The sequence below is a fragment of the Homo sapiens genome, chromosome 3, assembly GCF_000001405.40.
Source record: "Homo sapiens chromosome 3, GRCh38.p14 Primary Assembly".
In the NCBI taxonomy this organism is placed as follows: domain Eukaryota; kingdom Metazoa; phylum Chordata; class Mammalia; order Primates; family Hominidae; genus Homo; species Homo sapiens.
Window position 1 is genome coordinate 9,098,511 of NC_000003.12, and position 24,351 is coordinate 9,122,861.

Below are 24,351 nucleotides of genomic sequence, written 5' to 3' on the forward strand. Positions count from 1 at the left end.
CCCCTCAACCTCCCAAAGTGCTGGGATCACAGGTGTGAGCCACTGCACCTGACTCTATCTTCTTTGGCACCTGCCTTTACCACTGAGTATGGGCTCTGGGATTGGACACATCTGGATTCAAACCCTAACCTCACCTTTCTTGGCATCAGTTTCCTCATCTGTAAAATGGGATAATGGCAGCATCTTCATCTTAGGTTTGAAGAGTTAAATGTGTATAGAATGCTTAGCCCAGAGCCTGGCACACTGCAGGCGTTTGCTCACTGTTTGTTATCTATAATTATTGTTTACCTACTGTCATGCTAGTGCTAATATATGTTTATTAAATGAGTTGGGAGTGCCTGATGATGACCGGCTTAGCAGGCTCTACTGGCAGAGTGACCGTTCGCGACTTCATCTCCCTGGGAGACGGTGGAGATTGGCTGAAGGCGCCTCATCCCTTGGCAGGGTGCCCACTCTGCTCTCTCCCTCCTCCTTCCCCATGCAGGCCTCATAGCTGGACCCTCCAGCATGCAAACACTCACTCCACTCTCTCATGCAACCAAAAAATAAAAAATAAACTTGGCTTTGAATCCAAGGCCAGTGGGTGCTTTTGATCTCGGTTACAAAGCAAGGCAATTATTGAACACAAAAAGCCCTGATTTATTTATAAAATGCGATGGACATCTTCGAGGCGGGAACGAGAAAACTCACTCAAGACCAAGTCCTTGTTGCCACACAGTGAATGGCTGCTTTCAAACACAAGCCCCCCACATGGCCTCGCTTCTCTGCAAAGAGTCTTTCCTCATTAGTGCTTCCTCCCAACACCACAGCTTCCAACCATCAAATTCACATCACGGCCGGGGCAAGTAATTAAATTCCACAGGCATCAGAGCATAGAATAATGGATGGCTATTGTTAAGGAAGCTGAAGAAAACAGAATGAGGCTGGAAATGGAATGGGCTTCAATACCCAGTTTCAGAAACGGTTAGCGGGGAGCAGGAGAGCAAGTGGGATGCAGACTGACCCTCCCACCTGGTGCAGCACATGGGATAGTGGCTTTAGTCCTGGAGCTGGAGGTGAAAACCTGAGTTTGGAGCCAGACTCTGCATTTGCCAAACATGAGCCTCAGTTTCCTCATCTGTGAAATGAGGAGGTTGGACTAGGAGTCATTCTCCATGTATGGTCCCCAGACCAGAAGCATGAGTATCACCTGGGAATATGCTAGAAATGCAGGTTCTCAGGCCCCACCTTAAACCTACTGAATCGGAAACTGTGGGGCTGGGGCCCAGCAGTCTGCATTTAATAAAGCCTCCAGGTGATCCTGATGCATGCTAGATTTTAAGAACCGCAGTGAGGTAATGTTTAAAGACAAGGCCAAATACTCAAATGCACAAAGGGCCAGAGAGGCAAAATCAAGGAGCCAAGTAAGGTAAAATACGCCAGCAGGGTCAGTGGAGTGGCAGAGACAGCGTGCCTAGGCTGACGGGGCTGGCAGCCACTCAGCTACCGCTAGCTGATGCCACGTGTGAGTCCATGTGGGGCTGGTATAGTCAAAGCTTCTGATTTTGCAAGAGAAACACAAAATCGTGATTTTGGGAGAAATCTTTAAATGTTTAAATGTCAACTTAATCTTTCTTAACATAGTAAGGGCCAAGAAGATTATACGTCAGAGCCAAACTCAGTTGTGCACTGCCATTTTTCAGCCTCTGTTCTGAGTTTTTTCCTTCGACCTCCATCACCATAAACTCTACCCACTGGCTCTTACCTTTCTCCAGACCCTGAACTCCCAACCTCCTTTCCCCATTCAGCAGGCTCTTATTCATCCGTCAACACCCAACTCCAGGGGCACTTCCACTGTGAATTTATTCTCAACTCTTTGCCCCACTTTCCACCTCTCACTAAGAAGACAGAGAAGAAGCAAACAGGAGGCCAAAGAATTGACACACAGAAGGTGACACCGAGGAGGAAGACATGGAGAAGTTACAAAACAGCCTTTTCCCACAGAGGAGGAATTAGGACCTCTTGGCAGTTACCCTCCTGCTGCTTGAAAAATCACTCAAATAAGGACACCGATCCCATTTGACCAGAATCTAACAAAATGAAGTTTTAGAAGGGTAAATATGAAGAAACACAAAAGCAGAAGTCAAAGGCTGCATTAAAAAACAATTGGTACAAAAATACAAGGGACTTTTTGCTGACTGAGAGTTCACTGTGTCAATCATGTGGTAAAACAATCATCAAAGCGGCAAACACCATCACGGGTCTTATGAGAAATAAAGTGTCTGGACAGCCCTGCTCTGCCCTGAGCTGCTCAGACCTTCCTAGAGTATTCCGACTGGTTCTGAATAGTAACTTCTGTAGGTCAGAGAAGACCTGAAGCATGACCCAGGCAGGGCGACTGATATGGGGACAGAAACACAAAGCCAAATTCCAGGAGGACGATGGAAGGAACCTGGGACATCTGCCCATAGGCAGGAAGGACCAGTGGATGGTCACGATTTCTGCCTTCAAGCAACTGACAGGTTTCCATGTGACAGGTTTGATCTGTTTGGCCCTCTAGGGATGATCAGGACCTGTGAGTGAAAACACTACAAGATTCCATTTCGGCATTCGGGAGAATTTTCTATTGATCACGGATGTTCCCACATGGAATGAGCTATCCTGAGAGGTAAGGAGCGTTCTTTATTGAGGGACATCTAGCAGAGGCGTACAGCTGCTGTAGAGGATGATAAAAGGGCTGGAAAAGAGAGTCCAGTGGCCATCTCCTGTTTTATTTCTCCCTTCTTCTTGTAAAGGCACCCCTACTTTTCTTGGGGAACCACCCCTCACCCATTCTCAGTCCCATGGGTCAGGTGGAACTGAGTGTGCATCTGGCTTCAGGGATGGGTATGTGTCCCGGCCTGGCGAGGCAGAGCCCTGCAGCGCCCCAGCCACAGACGCAGCACCCGGTGTGCTCACGTGACCCGTGCTGGACCAATCACAGACCAAAATATCCCATTCTGGGAAAAGGGACTTGAAGCAGAGAGGATGTAGGTCTGGAGATGCCAGGGGCCCTCTGGTTATCACACGGCCAGCGGGTGGGGCTGACTGTAAAAGAGCCCCTCGCCTCCCCACAAAAAACGGGAAACAGAGAAAACTGGAGCAGAGTTGCCGAAAGAGTTGCAGAAAGACAGAGTTCTAGTAACATCCTTTGTTCCTCTGAAGCCCCGCATGCCCGAAGCCAGGCTTATAACTAGTAAGGTCCCTTTTTCTCTTAAAGAGGGGCAAGCTGCATTTCTGCTGTCTGCCACCATAAGAGTCCTGATCACTAACGATGGCCTCCTGGATCTCATTCAGTTTAATTTTGCTAGGGCTGATCCACATCTCACACTTAAAGCAAGGGCCACGTGCAGGGGCTTCTGGAATTTGAAGTGCTCCTCTAGTCATAAGAACAGACTCCACTGCAAAAGGGGAAATGGAGAATCATGAAAAGGTAAGTTATTAAGTCAAACCACCTCCCGCATCAGTGAGAAGCTGGCAGGCAGGGCAGCTGCCCAGGCCCAAGCCAGAAGATAGGCACAGGACAGACACCTGGCCTAGAAGCCGCTCCCATCTCCCGCAGCCTCACTGCCAGACTGTGGCTTGGTAGAGCCCTAGGACCCCAGCTCAGACATGGGGAGTGGTTTCTATTCTTAGGGATCACTGGCAAGCTACCATTTAATAAGCACCTACTGGATACCAGGCCTGGGCTGGACACTTGGCTCACCTCTGCATATTAAAGCGGCCCCCTGTGAAGTTGGCATTGTTACCAGCTCCATTTCCCAGATGACAAAACTGAGACTCAGAGAGACTTGCCCAGGGTGCAGTGATAGGCAGTTCTGAGACAAACTCCAAAAGCCCAGCCACTCCGCCTCCTGCTGGTAATGACAAGGGGCCCAAAGCAACCAAGTCTGGGTTCTCCTTGCAGCCTCCCAACGCTTTACTTCCTCACCTGTAAAATGAGGTGAGTGAGGATCCCCAGTCTGACCAGAGAGCAGCCTCCATAGTTGCTTTGAGGTCTGCGGGAACTATTATTATGTAAAGAGTGCCGGCCTCCATTCCGAAATTAGGTGTAACTGATGCAACACAAAGGGGCCGTGCTGTGCAAAGTCAGCCAGCCAGGCTCCGTCCGCGCCTCTCTCCAAAGCCCCTGTGGGCTGGGTTGTTTCCTTTGTTCCACAGGCACAGGCCTGGTAACAAGGCAGCCAGGAGCTCAGCTGTAGACATTTTTTTCATTATTTTCCACCCTGTTAACCTCCATCACAAGTCAGGCTGCTGTCAGCCTAAATGAGAACTGAAAAGATTTATCTCACTTGTCCCAGGGCTCAGCTCAGGAAAAAAGACCCTTCATTTCCTAAAGGCCTTGATGACCCTTTCTCTGTGAGTCACTCCCACCAAGGAAAAAAGATGTGACAGCAGCAGCAGGCGGGGGCTGGGAATGGGACCAACAGTCCAAACTTGCAGACGTCTGGATCACTTCAGTTTGGCTTTGCAAAGCACTGTGTAATTTTTTTTTCTTTGCACCGTATTTACCTTCCTAATTGTGTTTGCTTATGCAATATGAAACTTAGCCCACATTTCATAAACACAACCCCAGAAGGAGACCAGAAGCATATTGTGTGGCAGGAGAAAATTAGCCTGCGATTACACTTTTGCTATAGAAGTAATCCTCAAAGTGGACAATCCAAACACAGACCATGGAGAGATGATTATATTTTCAATCAACTTGTCCCCTTCTTTGTGCTTCTAGCAATCTCAGATCACCAAACCCCTGAAACTGGCACCTGGCAAGAAGAGATGAGCTAGATTCTTTTGGTAATAATAGTCTCTTAAATTCGCATAATAATAGTCAGCTTTCATGAGCACCTACTAAGTGCCAAGTGATGCTCTCCATGCTGTACACAGGAACAACAAGCCTGTTAATCCTTCCATCTGCCCATGGGTATTTATCTCCATCACCATTTCACAAATGAGGAAACTGAGGCACAGAGCATTGAAGTAACAAGCCCGAAGATACACAGCTAATAAATCATGGAACCAGGATTATGAACCCAAGAATTTAAGAATTCTGGACCCAGAGGCCACATCCCAAACCACTTTGCAATAATGCCACTCTCCCCGCACACCATTTGTTTAACGCTCACCCTCCTGGGAAGTAGCTGATCTTAACCCTGCAGGATAGACAAAGAGGATGAGTTTCACAGAGGCTAAATAACTTACCCATTTTACAGACAAGGAAACTGAAATTCACAAAAGTGAGTTTAGTTCTACAAACATTTGCACAGCACCTTGTACATGCCAGGCACTGTGCAAGGAACGTGGGATACAGAGACCTCAGTGCTCCTTCCACACTCAGCTTCTGGATGTTTATATGGGTAAAACCTTTCTGAAGGCAATAAGGTACACTGTCAAAAGCATTAAAAATGAGCATACTTTCGACTCTAAAATTCCCACTGCAGAAACTGATCCTAAGAAAGTAACAGCGAATGTGACAAAGAAGCTCACGGCAGTGTTATTTATAAGAGTAAAATAACAGAAATAAACTAAGTGCTCAACAATAAGAGATTAAATAGAGTACATCTATATAATGAAATACTGTGTAATCATTCAAAATGTTATAGAAATATACTATTGATGTGGGAAAATGTAATAGAGTGTTACGTAATTTGTTAGGTGACATAAGCAGGTAGTAAAATCATATATGCATTATGATCTGATTTAGAAAAAATGCATGTGTACACTAGAAAATATACAAATCTAAGCACTCTCAGAAAATGCATTTGCGTTTGTACACGAGAAATTCCTAGGATATCAAAGTGATTATCTCCAAACAATGCCATTTCAGGTGATTTTAATTTTTGTGTGTGTGCTCATCGTCATTCTTTAAAATTTTCTACAATGAATATGTACTACTTACCTAGCCATGCAAAGGTTTTCATTTTTGTGGCAGTGGTTGCTAAAGTGGCTAAGACTACACACTCTTTAAAAGGCACATCCAGGGTTCAAATGGGCTGGGGTCCCAAGTCCAGCCCTCAGCCACTTGCATCCTTCAATGCACCTGCCCCTCCTGGTCCCTTGTCTCCAAACCACATCCCACCCTGGCTGGTATACTGTTACCATGGGCCAGCTTGGGGCAAAGACCTGGGACACGTAGAGCAGCCCACTTGCCTACCTTTTTGAAGAGTCTGATGACATCCTCACTGATCTGGGAGAGGCGGACGATGACATTGTTCATGAAGATGTCATTGAGGGTGGCATGGTCTCGGCTCTCCCGCCGGGTCTGATGCAGAACCAGATACCAACAGTTCACAGGCGAGAGGAGGTACTGGTCCTTCCTGTGGAAACCAAGAAAGCTCAGGTTGGCTACATTGGAACTGTCATCCAACAGTGGTTTATGCTGTCACCCACTTCAGCTCTTTTAACCTCCACGGTGCCCCTTCAAGGTCAGTCTTGTTGTTACACCTTATACAGTTGGGGAAACAGGCTACAACAGCTGAAGGGATCCTCCAAGGTCACAGACCAGCACTGGGGCCAGAACCCAGGTCTTTGACGCCTATGCGGTTCTACTCTAGCACTGAATGTGGTGCTTGCTCCAGGTACCTCTACCTTCTGGGAAGAAGCTACCTCCCCTGGGGCTAAGAAATACTAAACCAATTGTTTTTTAAATATTATACTTGTATGATTTCTGGAACTATGCAATAGAAAGAACAAAAAGTAGATACTTCCACTCCCCCATTCTGCCTGCCTCAACCCCTGTAATTTTCTTGGGCTCTTAACTTCTTTGTTCTTCCCCAGGGATTGGCTTCTGTCTCTTGGCCTCTTGGAAACACATGCCTTTGCCCCTCCACGGAGCTGTTGGGAAAGGGGCTAGGAGGGCTCAGATTCTGTGTTCAGGAGGAAGGGTTAAGGAAAATGCAAGTACCTACAAGACAAATAACCCTTTGTCCTGCAATGACTGATAGGTTATTAGCACTCTCTAGCTGGGTGTGATGCTGAAGCAGGGGTTCTTAAAGTGTGCTCCCAGACCAGCAGCAAGAGCATGACCTGGGGACTGGTTAGAAATGCAGACTCTCCAGTCCCACTCCAGACCTGCTGAGTCACACACTCTGGGGGTGGGCCTGCAATCTGGGCTTTACCAAGCCCTCCAGGGGATTCGGATACTCACTCAAGTCTGAGAACCACAGATCCTTATACTATTGTTTCCCAAAGCTCAGGATGCTAATGAGACCAGAGAAAATCTGTCTCTTGGCTCTGCAGATGCTCCTCAACTTACTACAGGGCTACATCCCAATAAACCCCTCACAAGTTGAAGATATCCTAAGTTGAAAATGCATTTAGTAAGCCCAAACTACGGAACATCATAGTTTAGCCTACCCTACCTTAAACGTGCTCAGAACACATTAGCCTACGGATGGGCAAAATCATTGCACACAAAGCCTATTTTCTAATAAACTGTTGAATATCTCATGTAATTAGTTGAATGCTATCCTGAAAGTGAAAAACAGAATGGTTTTATGTGTACTTGAAATACGGTTTATACTGAATGTGTATCACTTTCACAACACTGTAAATTCTCAAAATTATAAGTCAACCCATAGTTAAATTAAGGACCATCTGTATTTGCCAAAGACCCCTCTGTGAGCCTCAGGAAAGGGTGGATACACCCTGTTATCCAGGAAGGAAGAGAAAGGTCAATTCAAAAGCAAAACCAAACCAATAACCCTTTCCTGCCACGCAGGGCACCTATGCTAAAGCTCTTGCCCTCTGACCCAGGGTATCTCCCTGACTCCTTTCCAGTGTGGAGAGAGATGTTGGAAAGGCAGGATGTGAGGGGAGAGGCCCTTCCACCACCTGAGGTGGCAGCTCCAGGGTTCCCCCAGGCCTGCCTTGTCCCACCCCTGTCCTGAGTGTGGACCACCTCCAGGAGCTGGCCAAGGTTCTGTTCTTAGAAAACACAGCCTCCCACTATTAGCGTTTTTTGAGGAAGGCAATTGATATAGTTTGGTTTTGTCCCCACCCAAATCTCAACTTGAATTGTATCTCCCAGAATTCCCACATGTTGTGGGAATGGTCTTGGGGGCCAGTCTTTCCCGTGCTATTCTCGTGATAGTGAATACGTTTCATAAGATCTGATGGGCTTATCAGGGGTTTCTGCTTTTGCTTCCTCCTCATTTTCTCTTGCCACCACCATATAAGAAGTGCCTTTCACCTCCCACCATGATTCTGAGGCTTCCCTAGCCATGTGGGACAGTGAGTCCAATTAAACTTCTTTTTCTTCCCACTCTTGGGTATGTGTTTATCAGCAGTGTGAAAATGGACTAATACAGCAATTCTGCTGACTCCCACTATGACCACATCCACCTCCCCAAAGCCAAGCAGAAGGACCCCTGAACTGCTGTCCCCACCCCACCCCCACCACCCCACCTCTCCCTATCTCCTGGGGCTTGGGAAGGTAGGTGGGGCAGGGCTACCTTGACTTCAAGGAATTTTTCTTTCTCTCACCAAATGTGCTAAAAATCTATCTAGGCAGCAGAAATTTGTGAGAAGATAATTAGATTTAGATAAAGGATGGGAACTATCTAAGGAAAAGGGAGGATGATGAAGCATTTACAACACTGCTGTGAAACAACCAGATTTCTCCTTGGCTTATAGCCTAGAGTAAAAGCCAGGACACTACAATTAGACCCCAACTAGAATCCCTCAGCATCTACTGTGTCAGGTCTTGGGTGGGTTCTGGGCACCCAAAGGTGGCCGTGATGCACACTCTGCCTTGGAGGGGCTCACTGCTGAGTGGCTGCATCAGAAAAAAAGAATTAGAGAGGAAGGTGGTTCCAGTCTATAACAGAGACATACGCAGAGCATCAGTTCTGCTGGAGAAGCTGCAGAAGGCATCGTTCTCCTCCAGTGTGTTCTGGGTACCAGGCACGCGGCCTCTTCTATTCCCACTGGGGCCTGGACGCTTTTCCCTCTGCCTGGAATACCACAGTCCCTGCTCTTCTCATGAATGCCTGTTTCTATTACTGTAGGTTCAGCTTAGATGATACCTCCCTAGAGAACACCCCGTTGACCACACGCTAAGGCAGTGGTTCTCAGTGTGGCCCCTGAACCAGCAGCAGCAGCATCACTTAGGAACTTGAAAATACAAGTTCTCAGGGCAGCCCCAGACTACGTGTACTCAGAAGCCCTAGGGCTGGGCCCAGAATCTGTGTTTTAACAAACTCTCAAGGTGATTTGGATGCATACTCAAGTTACAGAACTTCTACCTTAAGGAGTTTCCATCCCTCCCCCTCACCCTACTGTGAGCTCTTTGAGAGCAGGGATCACTTCTATTGTGTCATCACGTCCAGCACCCAGCAATGTGCCTGCCATGTAGCAGATGCTATGGAAGAGAGACCCATGAAAAAAGACTGCATTTGTGCTGGGTCTTGAAGGATGGGTAGGAGTTTTCCAAATGGTCAGAAGTCAGAGAGAGGATGGAATTGTGGGTAGAAGGACCAGTGGGTACAAATATAGTGAAGTAGCTCAGAAGAGCTGGAATTCTGAGTGTGTTAGTGGAGGACTGTAGGACATGAGGCTGGGGATACAGATTAAAGGCCCAATGTTGGGGGAGACTGCCAGACTAAGGGGGTGGGACCCCTTATCTTCTAGACCACATAGTTCTCAACCTGTCCTGTACACTAGAATCAACTGGGGAGCTTTTAAAAAAACACCAAGACCCAGGACCCATCCAAGACAAAATCAGAATCTCTGGGGGTAGCGCGTGGTACTCATATTTTTATACTCTCTAGAAGATTCTAATGTGCAGCCAGGGTTAAGAATGCCTGCTTTAGGCCGGGTGCAGTGGCTCGTGCCTGAGTCCCAGGGCTTTGGGAGGCTGAGGTAGGAGGATCACTTGAGTCCAGGAGTTCAAGACCAGCCTGGGCAACATAGCAAGACTCCGTCTCTACAAAAAATTTAAAAATTAGCTGGGCATAGTGGCACACACCCGTAGTCCTAGTTACTTGGGAGACTGAGGTGGGAGGATCACTGGAGCCCGGGAGGTGGAAGCTGCAGTGAGCTATGATCATGCCACTGCACTCCAGCCTGAGTAATAGGCAAGACCCAGTTTCTAAAATAAATAAGAATGTCTGCTATGGGCAGTGGGGAGTCATGGAAGTTATTTCAGCAGAGGTAGGATATAACCAACATGTGTTTTGGCATGATCATGGAAGGCAGATTGGAGGATGAAGGGATGGATGGGTAGGTGGGTGGGTGGATGAGCAGGGATATGGGGCTTTTGGTAAGAGGACCAGGCAGGAGGTAATCTTAGTTCAAAAGAGAAATAGTGAGGCCTGGGTGTGGTCTTGTAGCCAGCGAAGGATGGACTTGAGAGATTTCTCAACAGGAGAGCAGATCCTCTTGGAAACTTCCTGGAAAACAGCAGAAAGAGGAGGAAGGAGCAGACAGTGATTCCGAGGCTCAGATCTTAGGCGACTGGGTAGATGCTGATGACATGAACTGAGATAAGAACTGCAAGGGGAGCAGTAGGTTTGGACAGAAAATGCATTGCTTATCTCATTTTCACTGCTTCCTAGGTGGTGATGGAAATGGAAAGATTAAAGGAGAGATGAGATAATTGAGCTGTTACCTAAATTACTTCAGGGGCTTAGCTGAACCTGGGAGGCAAGAAGTGAACAGCACCAGGGAATTAAATTGTGCAAAATTATGGAAGCCACAGCCAGAAGGTGAGTTTCAGAGGGAAGGAAAAAGACAACTGATCTGGAACTGATGGGGAATTGCTGGGACAGTTTGGGGACCATTAACTAGGTCATCTAGCCAGAGAGATGAGATGAGAGGAAGGGCAGAGAGCACAGCGCTGTCCTTATCAGAAGCTGCAAGCCAGGAGGCAGTGCGGTATAAGACAGAATTGCAGGAGGCAGAGCGAGCCAAGGCAAGGAGGAGGATGTTACCCGAAAGCAGCCAAAGACTCAAGTTGAAGTGAGCAGCTGCTGTGAAGATTCCTTCCAGCCCTCGTTCACTCCTTGCGTTTGTGTGTCTGTGCTGGGCAGGACTAGGTGCTGCGAGTGCAGGAGCAACCAAGGCTGCAAGACCCTGCCCTGCAAGTCTTCCACTTGAGTAAGGAGATTCACAAGGAACAGAAAGTGATGAGGCAGCCTCATCAGTGCAGTCATGGGAAGGAGGCTATGGAGCAGAGAGGAGCCTCCTTCCCCAGATCTGGTGGTGAGGTTGGTCATGCATGGCTTCCTGGAGGAAACGCTTTCTAGACTGAGAACTAAAAGCCGGACTGGAGTTTCACAGGGAGGAGCCTTCAAAGGGGAGAAATGTGATGAGCAAAGGCCCAGGGAGGAGCAGGAGAGGGAGGAGCAGGTAGGGAGGGGGCCCAAGCATGGTGTTTTGGGGTAGGAGAGTGAGGACAGCAGGTGAACATGGAGACTGAGGCAGGGGCCACTTGGGAAAGGGCCTTTAACTCTCATTAGAGTTCAAGCTCCGTCCTGAGGTCAGCAGGCAGACCTTGAAGGGTTTACAGAAGGGGAGTGAAAGGGTAAAACTGCACTTTCAAACTCTCACTCTGGCTGCTGTACAGAGCCAGGGGCCGGGAGAGAAACTGAGGGATTCAAGAAAGGCTTAGGTAGGAAATTGACTGGACAGGGAGATTGACGGGATGGAGTTAGGGCTGGAAGTTGAGAGAGAGCAAAAGATGTCCAGGATGACTCTCCAGTTTTTGGTTTGGGCACCTGGGGGAGTAGAAGGAGCCTCTGTGGAGATGAAGAGGAGCAGGTCAAGGGTGGGGCGGGGAGGGAGGATGATGAGTTCGAGTCGAACACGACGAGTCTAAAAGGCTGTGGGGCATCCAGATGGAGCTATCTGGGCTGGAGAGACAAACATGGAAGCCAGCAGCAAGGAGTTGGATGCTATTTAAAACCACAGAACAACAAGGAAGGCTTTACAAATGCTGTGGCCACATGGCAGAAGAGGTCAATCCCCGGGAAGCATGGCAAGGCTGTGGCCGGAGGGCTGGGGCAGGGCCAAGCCGCGGTGGCGCCTCCCCTCCTGCTTCCCTAAAAGAGGGCAAGATGGGGCAATGTGCAGCCTGGCCTCCTCTGAGATGCTGTCCCAGGCCTGCCGTCCGATCAGCGGCCCATTCTCTAGGTCCATCCCAGCATGGGAAACTGCTGGGTCTGCACCCCCACCTTCTCCCAGCCCTGGCTCCCTCCTGTGGGGCAGGTCATTTGTAGTCTAAAAGGCTGGGGTGAACTGTCCACAGCCAGGGTCAAGAGCTGCTCTGTAGAAAGCTAGCATGTGTGGCCTTGGCCACAATGGTACCAGGCAGGCTCTACCACATCTGAAAGAAGAAGGCCCACAGGTGGGACTCAGCACAGCAGTAGAGAACAGAAAGCCACCTGGACGTGGGCATGGGTGTTCACCGGCGTCTGCCATGCTAGCTGTGGACTCCGGGCAGGCCACCTATTCCCTGTAGCCTGGCCACTCACACCATGGAGTCACTCTGGGCTTAAATGCCAGAAGAGAGCTCTGCAGTCATTCTTCAGCAGTTCATGCATTCCATACATTTTTGTTGAATATTTTGTATAGATCAGACCCCAGGGACACAACCTTGAGCCCAACAGACACAGTTCCTGCCTTCATGGAGCAGACAGTCTGGTGAAGAGACAGACACCTACCATGAGCCCACGAATGTGGGTAGAGTTAGAAGTGCAGAATGTGCTGGAACAGAGGGGAGCCTGTGCCATGAGTGCCTGTAATAAGGGGGCTGGCCTGATTTGTGGGTCACTAAAGTGTCCCCAAGGAAGAGGTCATTAAGCTGTGCTCCAAAGGAAGAGTTGGAGGGCGCTAGTGAAAGGGGCTGGGCAGGTGGGCTGGCGGGAGAAGGCTCTAGGCAGAGGGAACAGAATGGGCAAAGGCGCCTCAGGGCGGAGAGCCTGGTGCATTTAAGGAACTAAGTAAAGAACAGCCTGGCTGGAGTGGGAGGCAAGGCAGAGGAGGAAGAGGGTGAAGAGTGAGGCTGGAGGGGCCTGCAGGGTCTCACACACTCCATCCTGCCCCCATCTGGCTCACAATGGGACTGCAGGAGGGAGGAAGCACGAGGGCCGCAGACCGCAGAGCCAGACGCCAGGCTGCAGAAAACTTGAGCCTCTGCCTTCCCTGTTCCTGGGGTTGTTTGCCCCTTTGGAAAGTGGAACCCCTTTGACCTGAGATCCAGCTCTCTGTGCCAGCAGCCACTTTTGTCTTCTGCAGCCTCATTTTTGGAAGACATCAGAATGAATGAGGGCCAGTGCCCTCGGCCAAGGCACTCAGAGTGACCCTTCCGCTTCTCCAATCTTTCATGCAAGCGTCGACCCAGCAAGCAGAAGCTGCTGAACTAAGACATCACGTTAGAAATTTTGCATATGTATGTATCTATTTTCTTTTTTTATGGCCAGAAAATAGCAATGAACATTTCTGGTGAGTCACAGCTTTCTTTCTTTGGCTAGGGGATCTGGATATGAGGTTCCAGGAGACTGCAGCTAGGGGAGCCAGGCCTTGCCAAGCTAGTGAGTTGGGAAAATGAAATTAGCAGTGAGCCAGTTTCTCCAGCTTCTCGGCTGAGGGCCGGAAAATTCCGCTTAGCAAACAAAACCCATTTCCAAGCTTGCAGAGTCCCATGTTCCAGATGAATCCAAAGCCACTGCCCTGGGATCAGGGTCCCTCTGGGAGGAAGGCAAGCTCCTGCTTGGGCTTCCTGCCCCGTTCCAGGACCTTCTCAGGCCTCACACTGGGCTTGCGTCCGAGAAATGCTAACTCAATCAGTTCTGTGGCCAGAAAGGTGCATTTAACCTCCTGCTACCTAAGCTGCCCCAAGCAGGATTCAGCATTCATTGCACTTGCTTGTAGCATGAATCATTAATTCAGCCAATAGTAAGTGTGTGCCTGTTCTGTGCCAGGCAATGGTAAGCAAAATGAGCCACACTTCCCACTTCGTGGAGCTTACAGTCTAGTGGGGGTCTCAGATAACAATCAGATAATCACAAAAATCAATAGAAAATGGCAGCGGGAAGAAGGGCTCTGAAGGAGAAATACATGGAGCCTGGAGAGTCTTTAACAGGGGGCTGCCCTCTCCTGGGGAAGGCGGAGGGGAGGGAGCATCAGGGGACCCTGGGGTCCTTCTCATCACTGAGACCTGAGCTGAGCTATTTCTCCTCCTGGATGCCTCCCTGGCCACCCACACACCCTATGTCACACTATGTCATTGTCATTACAGCACTCCACACCTGATGCTTGTTGTGTTCTTTTCCTTTTTGCTTCTGGTCTTTGTCCCCTCTCTAGCTTATGTCTGTCCTACTCATCAGTGCTTCTCTGGTGCCCAGGCCAACCTGGGCACACAGGCACTCTCAGAAAATATTTGTGAGTAGGTGAAAAGTGCCCCCTGAGCTCAGACTAGAAGGATGGGTAGGTTTTAACACAGCACAGTGATAAAGAAGAGCATTCCCAGAAATAAGCATGAAGCCCTCATGGGCACGGGCATCATCTAGAACTGACAGAAAGTGAGTGTGGCCAGAGGGCAGACAGGGACTGGATGAGGGTCAGACAAGACTGAACATGTAGCACAGCCAGGGCCCTGAAGGACAAGACGTGCATGGGGCTGCGTACTAGTTTTGTAGGTGCTGTCACACAGGACCATAGAGTGGCTCAGACAACAGGTATGTGTTGTCTCACAGTCCTGGAGGCTGGAAGTCCGAGATCAAGGTGTCGGCAGGGTTGGTTCCTTCCAAGGACTGTGAAGGAGGATCTGTCCCAGGCCTCTCTCCTGGCTCCTGGTAGGTTGCTGGAGATCTTTGGTGTCCTTGGTGTAGACACAGCACCCCAATCTTTGCCTTCACCTTTCCAAGGCATTCTCCCTGTGTGTTGGTCTCTGTGCCCAAAGTTCCTTTTTTTGTAAAGATACACACCAGTCATGTCGGATTAGGGCCCTTCCCAATGACCTCATTTTTATCTGATTACTTCTATAAAGACCCTGTTTCCAAATAAGGTCACATTTTGAGGTACTGGAGTTTAGGACATCAGCATAGGAATTTTGAGGGGACACAGTTCCACCCTGATATGGTTTGGCTGTGTCCCCACCCAAATCTCATCTTGAATTGTAGTATAATCCCCACGTGTCATGGGTGGGACCAGGTGGAGATAACTGAATCATGGGGGACGGTTCCCCCATGCTGTTCTCATGATAGTGAATGAGTTCTCACAAGATCTGATGGTTTTATAAGGGGGTTCCCCCTTCACTGGGCACTCTTTCTCTCCCCTGCTGCCCTGTGAAGAGGTGCCTCCCATCATGATTGTAAGTTTCCTGAGGCCTCCCCAGCCATGCGAAATTGTGAGTCCATTAAACCCCTTTTCTTTATAAATTACTTTATAAATATTTACTTTATTATCCCCCACCCACCAGGAGTCCCCCGAGGAGTGTGAGGCTGCCATGCTGGGAGCCAGAGAGCGCAGTTCAGGGCCTAGCTCTGGCACTATTTGGCAGCCCGGAGACAGAGTCATCCTGAAGGGGACTAATTCCATCCATTGAGTCCCCTGGCCAAAGCAGGCTTTGCTTATCAGTTGGGGTGCTATTGAGTCAAGAGGCTGGGGTTCAAATGCCAATTCTGTCCCTCACCAACAAAGTGAACTTGGAAAGTTATTATAGTTAAACCTTCTCTTTCCTTATCTGTGAAACGAAGTGACGACTACCTCATAGTGGTGCCTGGAGGACTAAATGACACAACCCATGCTATTCTCTTGGTGTCAAACCCTGCACATAATAGTACTTTTTATTGTCATTACCATTATTACCACTAGCACCTCAATAAGTTGTTGGGAAGATCTAAGGCCTGATGTACATAGACAAACAGCCTATGATAAGTGTTCTAAAACTATTGGTTTTTCTCCTCCATTACTACTTTCTCCTTCTGCAGACTGTTATGTGAACTTCAATGCTCAGTGCAAATGTCCCTGTGACTCCCCCTTCATCCCAGGGCAGAATGATTCACGGGCTCACTGCTTCCTCTGTGATCCCATTCCTCACACTGCAGCATGAGGGTACACGTTGGTGTCTGGTGTCCAGCAGCACCTCTGAGCTCCCCTTTGACTTTCTGGATGGATTCTTGGTATCAGAGCAAAAAACTCTGCCTCATAGGCAATGCCTGGTCAACCTCAACTCTTTCCTTGCAAGCCCCTTTGCCTTGGTTTATCTGCCCACAGAATGGGTGGCACCGTGTGGCATGTGTAGCACTAGGCAGAGGAAAAGACCCCGATCCATGGCTTCCTGATTGTTTGGTGCCTGTGCTGTGCAGGTCATTTAATCTTCTAAGCACCCCACACATCCACATCACCGTGAACCAAGTGCTCTACTGGATGTCTGATAGGCATCATCTCATTGCACCTTCATGGGAAATGTGGTCTGTGAAGAAGGGGCTGTCTTTATCTTTCTAGGTGAAGACACTGAGTTTTCAAGAAATTAAGTCATTTGCCCAGATGGACACGGCTAGCACAGGTAAGTGGCAGACTAGCATTCCAATCTGGGTTTACCTGACTCCAAAATGCAAAACTGGGTCAGTTCTTTCACGGGTCAGCTGTGGGTCTGAAGTTAGGGTTCACCCTGCCTTGCCTATCAGTTGGTCCCTTGCCTATCAGTTGGGGATGACAACACCTTCCTTGACTCCTTCAACTCTCACCAGGGTTCTTGGGAGGATTTAAGCAGCTAAGGGCTGAGGAAGGAGTTTGCAAAGTGTAAGGTGCTATATAGTCTTTGAAGGTTATTATTATCCTATTTGCCTAATAGAATAGCATCAAAACTAAACCCGTACATATTACTGTTTGTGAAAATCTAATTTTTACATCTATTTTTCATTTCTAGTATAAAAATTAAATGATAGAAATGTATATATGCATATCAAAGTATATGCATGCATAAAGAAATCACGTCCTAGTTAATGCTTTGGTAGTTGCTGATTAGAGTCTCTGAGGATTCCAGGGAATTTGGTGTGGGACCTGGGAAAGAGCCAGATGGAAACATTGGAAAGAGATAAAGGAGCTACAGCCATTGCAAAATCCACTCTTCAGGCTGAGCCTCCTATGTTAAAATCCTTTCCCCTCATTTAAAAAAAAAATTGTGGAGGATAAAGAAGGTAAAGATGAAAGATGCTCACTTTGCAGGAGAAACTGGAATGGGACTTAGAGTGATTTGATGCTGGCTTCAGGATTTTTGCCATTCCTGCACACCACCACACTTAATATCTCCCTGTTGATGTCTTTTTTTAACTTAAATTTATTTACAAAGAACTTCCCTAGTTTCAGCTTTAAAAAAAACAGGATGGTTTGTTATAAATAGAAGGTAACCAAAAAACTAAATTCAACAAAAACCAAACAGTATATTCAATCTTGAGGTCTGTTCTCTATTTGCTAAAAAGGAGATTGGAGGACATTAACAATACACTAGGACCAAACTGAGACTTTCTCCTCCAGGCTACCAGAAACCTTGAAAGAGAATTGAGAAGATAATTCAATATTTATGGTTCCTGTGTTATCAAGAATCCCCTTTCATTTTGATCATCCATATTACCGAAATGACACCCTTAAAATACCCAGCCTTTGTGTGTATACCTCTGTGCATTGAGAACTCACTACCTCCCCAGGCAGCCCTTTCACTGATGGACAGCTGTGGCTACTGGAACGTCCTTAAGGTTGAATTGAAGTTTGCTTCTCTGAAAATGCTATCCTCGGACATCATTTATCTCCTTTCGCAGCCACACAAAATAAGTCTATTTGTTAAATATATTTAAAGAAAGCATTTGGTAGTGTCTTGGTTAATTCAGCCATTCACTGAAAAAACTTTGATAAAGCATCAATTATATACCAGAGAGAGGGAGACTAGAAATGGTCCCTTGCCTTCAGGCAGCTGGCCGACTGAAGTGAGAGAACCAGATATAGGAACTGGATCACTCCTTGATAATCTGATGCAAGCCCCACACAACTCACATGGGAGGCGAGAGGAGCAGCTGACTGTAGACTTGGGATCAACCAACAGCAGGGGCTTCACCAAGAAGGCAAGCCCTAAGCTGGCCTCTGTGTAGGAGTTGACCAGGAGGATAATAGCAAACCCCTGATGCTCATCCAAGGAGGATATGGTCGACATGCATGGGTAATTCTCAAGAAGCTCAAAGCCAGCCCAGAAAGATGAGGGAACAAAGTCAGCAGCTAGATGCAGTTTTGCATTTTGGAGTCAGGTAAACAAAGATTGGAATCCTAGCTCTGCCACTCACCTGTGCTAGCTATGTCCCTCTGGGCAAATTACTTAATTTCTCGAAAACTCAGTGTCTTCACCTAGAAAGATAAAGACAGCCCCTTCTTCACAGACCACATTTCCCATGAAGGTGCAATGAGATGATGCCTATCAGACATCCAGTACAGCACTTGGTCCACGGTGATGTGGATGTGTGGGGTGCTTGGAAGAGTAAACGACCTGCACAGCACAGGCACCAAACAATCAGGAAAGATCCAGCTGGCACACGGTGCTGAGAGAACAGCAGGTCTGGAAAGTAGGACCCCAGAAAGCCATTACTAGCTTGATACCAATCGCAGTAATAGTAATAGCTGTGAATGGAGACACAAGCCCTACTGGAGGGCTTTCTCCATCTCCATCTCATTCTAAGCAAACATTTTAATTCTGACTCCTTTTCACATTTATATGCTCAATTTATATGCTACAAAAGTGATTCTCTGTTTAGGAATAGCCTGGAAGGCTAAGTCTAAATTATAGCATCTCTTTAGAGAATTGCTACATCTGTGAAAAAAATCCTGTGATGCTTTATCCCCGCTAAGAAGTGTTTTCTTGGAAATGAAGTTAGTTGTTCACAGGAATCCTCTCTCCCAACTGCTCTGTGAAGCTGAAAGATGCTCCAAACCTCCTTTGCACAGGATATCTGCATAGAATATTATTCCCTAACTAGCCAAGTGCCTCCCAGCACTTCCCAAATTCTGGCTTTTCCCAAATGTTTAAATCATATTTAAATAGAACTCCCTGCTGCTTTTTTTCACAGCAGTTAAACTAGCAGCAACCAGCACTTAACCCTCTGCATGGAGCATTTTCATCAGGTACAGCTCCTGGAAGGTGAGGGGTATCAAAAACTGAGAAAGCTAGAATAGAAGGGGACTCTGTCACCCCAAACACAGGGCACTACTTGCATGGAGTGTCACTACTACAGAGGGTAACCCCAGCATTTGTCTAGAACAGAGATTTTCAAACTAGGTCTCAAGAAGTGCTAGTTTGTGAAATACTAGTAAATATCATGGGGAGAGCCAGGTGCGGTGGTTCTGCCTATAATCGCAGTGTTTTGGGTGGCTAAGGTAAGAGAATTGCTTGAGTCCAGAAGTTTAAGTCCAGCCTGGACAACATAGCAAGACCCCTGCCTCTACAAAAAAATAATTCATTTTTTTTTTTAAATTTCAGATGTGGTGGCATGTACCTGTAGTCCCGGTTACTTGGGAGGCTGAGGCAGGAGGATCACTTGAGCCCAGAAGTTTGAGACTGCAGTGAGCTGTGATCACACCACTACATTCCAGCTTGGGCGACAGGGTGAGACTCTGTCTCAAAAATAAGTAAATATGTAAATAAATAAATAGGGAGAGGGAATCCTGTGGTCAAATAGCTTTCAGAAAGAAGTCAACAGGCTTAATTATTACAAAAATCAGTCTTTCGTATCCTCCTTCTCCTCCTCCTCTTCCTCTCTCTCTCTCCCATTCAAACATCTCAAAGTATTGGTGTTTTAGAGACATTTTCCTGGAGGAAGAAAAAGTCTCATTCCCAGGAAACATCTGTGTTCATGGAGCTGCCAAATTCATTTGGACAAGACCATCCACCTACCCCAAGAGGCAGGTTTGGGGGCCCCATATGTGCTGCCTGCTACACCAGAGTCCTGCTCAGGAAGGGCTCAGCTCCAGGCCTTCCAAAGGAAAAGCCAAACTCAGGTTAGGCCTAGCTTGGAGAGGGCAGTGGATTATGGATTTGACGCTGGTGAAGAGGAGGGAAGGCCAGCACAGCCCAAAAGTGAGTTGAAAACCATTTATTCCCCAGAAAAACATCAGACTGGCTCTTCAAAGTGAACTGCCAACAGACTCCCCCAGGGGGCTTGTTAAATGCAGATTGCCAGGCCCCCCCCCCAAGAAGTTCTGATCCAGCAGGTCTCAGGAAATACCCCAGATCTTGCATTTCTAGCAGGTCCTCATGTGATGCCAATGCCGCTGCTCCCATTCCCCAAACAGGGAGACCATGGCACAGTCCACACTCTGTCCTTTCAGCAATACAGGACCCGTGACAGGCACATGAGCGAGTGACACTTCACCCAGATGGCCTCACTGAGCTAAGGCAGCCAGAAGACAAACATGCCCCCTTTCCCTGTCCTCCCTATGCAAATCTAATTATCACTTGCCTTTCATTCATTAGTTCATTAATCAATGACATTCAGTAACAACCAGGTGCCAGCCCTGTGAGAGGTGCTAGGGACCCCGGGTCAAGAGTCACCCTCTCTGCCATCTCGGAGCTTGCAGCCCAGTGGTTGTCCAAAGGAGGACAGACAAGTAAACAGACGATGACAATACAGGGCTGTAGCTCTTACCTCACCCTCTTCCCCAAGTCCTTCCCATCTCAAGGCAGAAACAGGAGACATCCTTGTTGCCTCTCTTTTCCTCCATTCCTCTCTGAGAGGTTTCCTGGCATCTGATGGCTTCTCTCATCTGCTCTGTTCCCACCCAGGCCATCACTGTCCCTGCCTGGAGAGCTATACCCACATGCCCATGAGTGGGCTCCTCGGCTCCACCCTCCAACCCAGGTGGTCTTTTAAACATATAAATCACATCATGCAACTCCCTTCTTCCCACTCCCACACTCACCAGTTCCAGCCACTTGGCTTCCATCCCCCTCCACTGCTGCACGTTGCTCCTTCTCATTTCTCAGGCCTCAGCTTAAACCACGCTTCCTCCAGACACCTTCCTGATCGTGGTCCTAGCTTGGTGTGGGCTGCCAACCCTTTGACACTCCTCCAATGATAGGAGGGCTTTATTTCCCCTTTCCTGAAGCTGAGCTAGGGCTGAGACAGCTTTGGCAAATAGCATCTGGGTGGGGAGTGATGCTATTCCAGCTCCAGGCCTAGCAGTTAAGAGGACTGCAGCTGCTGTCCTGCTCTCTAGAAGCCCCGAGCTACTGTCAGAAGTCTGATGCCCGGCTGAAGCAGGAGGCCCTGACACTACATGGAGAGGGAGACAGCCCAGCAGGGCCCGGCCTACTAGCCGTCCCCATGGAGGAACCAGGCATGCGAGTAAAGCTCTCTGGGACTGTCCAGACCAGGCCCTCTGCTAGCTGAATATCACTGAGCCATCAATGCCACATACAGCAGAAAAATCACCCAGCTGAGCCCTGTCCAAATCTTTGATCCATTAAATCACAAGGTACACTAACTTTGGGGGCATTGCAGTTATACGGGAGAGATAATCAGAATACTCCATAGTGTATTTATTTCCATCATAGCAATCATTGGATTATAGCTGGTCTTTCTTTTAGCTGCTTTTTAATGTTTTATTCTTCATGGTAAATTTCACCACAGCAGGAACCAAGTCTATCTTGTTCACCACTGTAAACCCAGGGTCTGGCACATGGTAGGTGCTCAATAAATATTGGTGGAATAAGCAAATAAGTACATCAGAGTACGACGGGCACACAGAGGGAGGCACCAGGTGGGAATCAAGGAAGCTTTTCAATAGAAGTGACATCTCAGTGCTGCAGGCTGATGGCACGCAGGTGCAGGGCTCAAAGGGCACAGCCATGGGATTGGGGCCTCCTCAGCCATACCAACTACCAGGCCTCCCCAAGCCATGTTCTTGTCTCTCAGTATCTGGCAGCAGAAATCGCACCTCATTTATCTTTGTGTCTTCGGCACTGAGCACAGTCCAGGAAAATATGAGGTCTTCAATGCACACATTTCAAACAAATGAAGTCCCACATGGCTTCTTGGAGAGAGAAGCCTGAGTTGGAAGTCAAGAACCCTGGGTTTTCATGCTCGACAGCTCATTGGGTCCTCGTTAAAGTAAGCAGCTCAGCTTTTCTGTTGCTCAGTTTGCTTGACATAAAACCACTGATTCCCTCTCCACTTCCCTGGGTTGTCATCAGGTTTATAAGAGAGCAAGGATGTCAGAGTGCTTTGAAAGAGGTTTGTTAGAATTGGATATGTGTTGTAGAAAAGAAATATGATGATATTTTTCTCTAAATGTTAACCTGTCCCAGGGAAACCTTCAGAACCATCACGTGGGCCTTTCTTTGGATCACGTGTCACAGGGAACTCAGCCCAGGTGAGTCTAGCCCTGAACACAGCACAGTGCGTATTCCTGGGCAGCAGCACATTCTTCAATTGCCCAGGTGGGGAGGGAATGGCTGGGGCCTTAGGGAGACACGGCCCATGGAGCACAAGGAGGAGCAATAGACTCGGAGCCAAGGGAACTGAGTCTCCATCCCAGTTCTGCTCCTAATTTACTGTAAAATCTTGGGCAAATCAGTTCCATCTCTGAGGCAAATCTCTCAGCCAAAGTGGACTAGATAGACCAAGTCAATCCTCTCCCTTCCTTCCTTCCTGTCTTCTTCCCTCCTTCCTCCCTCCCACCCATGCACACGCACCCCAGCTCTGCCAAGCACCTGACCCACTGCAATGGGAATAAAATGACAAGTCCTGGGCTCTGCCCTTAAGGCACTGAGGGGCTACTTGGCAGGTAGATGGACATTATTAAACCAAGAATCTTTACGACGGTGAGACAAGGCTTCTCGGAACAGCCCAGATGAAGGGAGCAGAGAGCAACACAGGTCCTGTGTGCTGGGCTCCAAGGAATAGGCAGCCCGAGGCCAGTCAGTGCCCTGGGGTCAAAGGGTGAGTCCAGCCTGCCCCTAGAGACTCCACTTCCAGAAGCGGAGACGGCTCTGCCATCACATTAGCATCGTGCAGAGGGCCCCCTCCAGCTGCACTGGCCTGGGCCGGCACCCTAATTAGACTTTCATAGTGCGTCAGGCAGCCTGCATGGCCGGGCTGCCAGCTGGGGCTCCCGTTCCGTCTGGTGGCCTCAGTTAATGAACCCATGAGGGGCTGGCCGAGCTCATTATAGGTGATACAAGGGAATAGGGTGCCCCCCCATATCCACAATCCCTGCCTTTCTCCTCTCCCTATGTGCACACTGAGAATGGGAAGAGAGCTGATTCCTAATCAAGGGGAAGGAGCGGACAGGAGAGATGCTCCAGCCCTACCACATGGCCCTGTCTGCAGCTAGGGAGAGCCCAAGACTTGCTGGCTCCAGTGGCCATTCAGCCAGAGTTGTGGGGTTCTGAGCCTATGTCTGCTGTGCCTGTGGTTCCAGGGAGGGTCCAGATGTCATGGCTACTCTCAAGCTGCACCTAGGCCCTTTCTTATCCCAGGCCAAGGAGGCAGAGAAGAGACAAAGGTTCAATTCTGTCTCTTTCCAATTGCGGGTTCACAGACATGTTTGGACAAGCTGCTTTCTCAGAGCTTCACCATCCTCATCTTTACGATGGGGTAGTAATACCCACCTGGCACCAAAGTAAGTGCTCGGTTCGATACATTATCTTTGTTTTTATTCTTAAAAGACAAGGGAGAAATGATTCCAAAATGTGAGCAGTGGTTGTGAGCAGTGGGACTATGAATGATATTTTTCTCTTTTCTGTACTTTCTAAATTGTATACAATGAGCATTTTACCTTTGTTGTTTGAAAAAACACAATTTTTCTCCAAAAAAATATGAGATTATATGTGTGAAAGGGTCTAGACTGTGCCTGAGTGAATGTTATTAATAGAGGCTTCCTCCTGCAGCAGAAGTTTGAAGAGAAGAGACTGGGTGGCTGGGCGCGGTGGCTCACACCTTTAATCCCAGCACTTTGGGAGGCCGAGGCGGGCGGATCATGAGGTCAGGAGATGGAGACCATCCTGGCTAACATGGTGAAACCCCGTCTCTACTAAAAATACAAAAAATTAGCTGGGCATCGTGGCGGGCACCTGTAGTCCCAGCTACTTGGGAGGCTGAGGCAGGAGAATTGCTTGAACCTGGGAGGCGGAGCTTGCAGTGAGCCGAGATCGCACCACTGCATTCCAGCCTGGGTGGCAGAGCAAGACTCCGTCTCAAAAAAAAAAAAAAAAAAGGGAGAAGATAGGGTAGAAAAAGAAGCACGGTATTTGCAAATGTGTAATGCACCAATTTCTTATCCCCAAATGCCAAGAGAAGGCACATAAGTGAGTGTTCAAATGCTGTGGCACAGACTCAAGGAAGTGTTTAG

General features: G+C 48.2%; 1 protein-coding gene across 14 annotated transcripts in view, besides 1 other annotated feature; it reads right to left on the reverse strand.

The window, feature by feature from the left end:
* Positions 1–24,351, reverse strand: part of SRGAP3 (SLIT-ROBO Rho GTPase activating protein 3) — a 382,437-nt gene that overhangs the window by 117,920 nt on the left and 240,166 nt on the right. For all 14 annotated transcript variants that reach the window (XM_024453843.2, XM_047449335.1, XM_047449333.1 and 11 more), the window contains one exon: positions 6,170–6,332. In XM_024453843.2, coding sequence (XP_024309611.1) covers positions 6,170–6,232 — 63 coding nt within the window. In that variant the 5' untranslated portion in view covers positions 6,233–6,332. The remainder of the gene's footprint in view (positions 1–6,169; positions 6,333–24,351) is intronic.
* Positions 6,731–7,487: an enhancer, noted in NCBI's record as "H3K27ac hESC enhancer chr3:9146925-9147681 (GRCh37/hg19 assembly coordinates)". NCBI's record gives its function as "activates a minimal SCP1, AML or CMV promoter by ChIP-STARR-seq in primed H9 embryonic stem cells {active_cell/tissue: H9 hESC(primed)}" and the evidence as "EXISTENCE:reporter gene assay evidence [ECO:0000049][PMID:30033119]".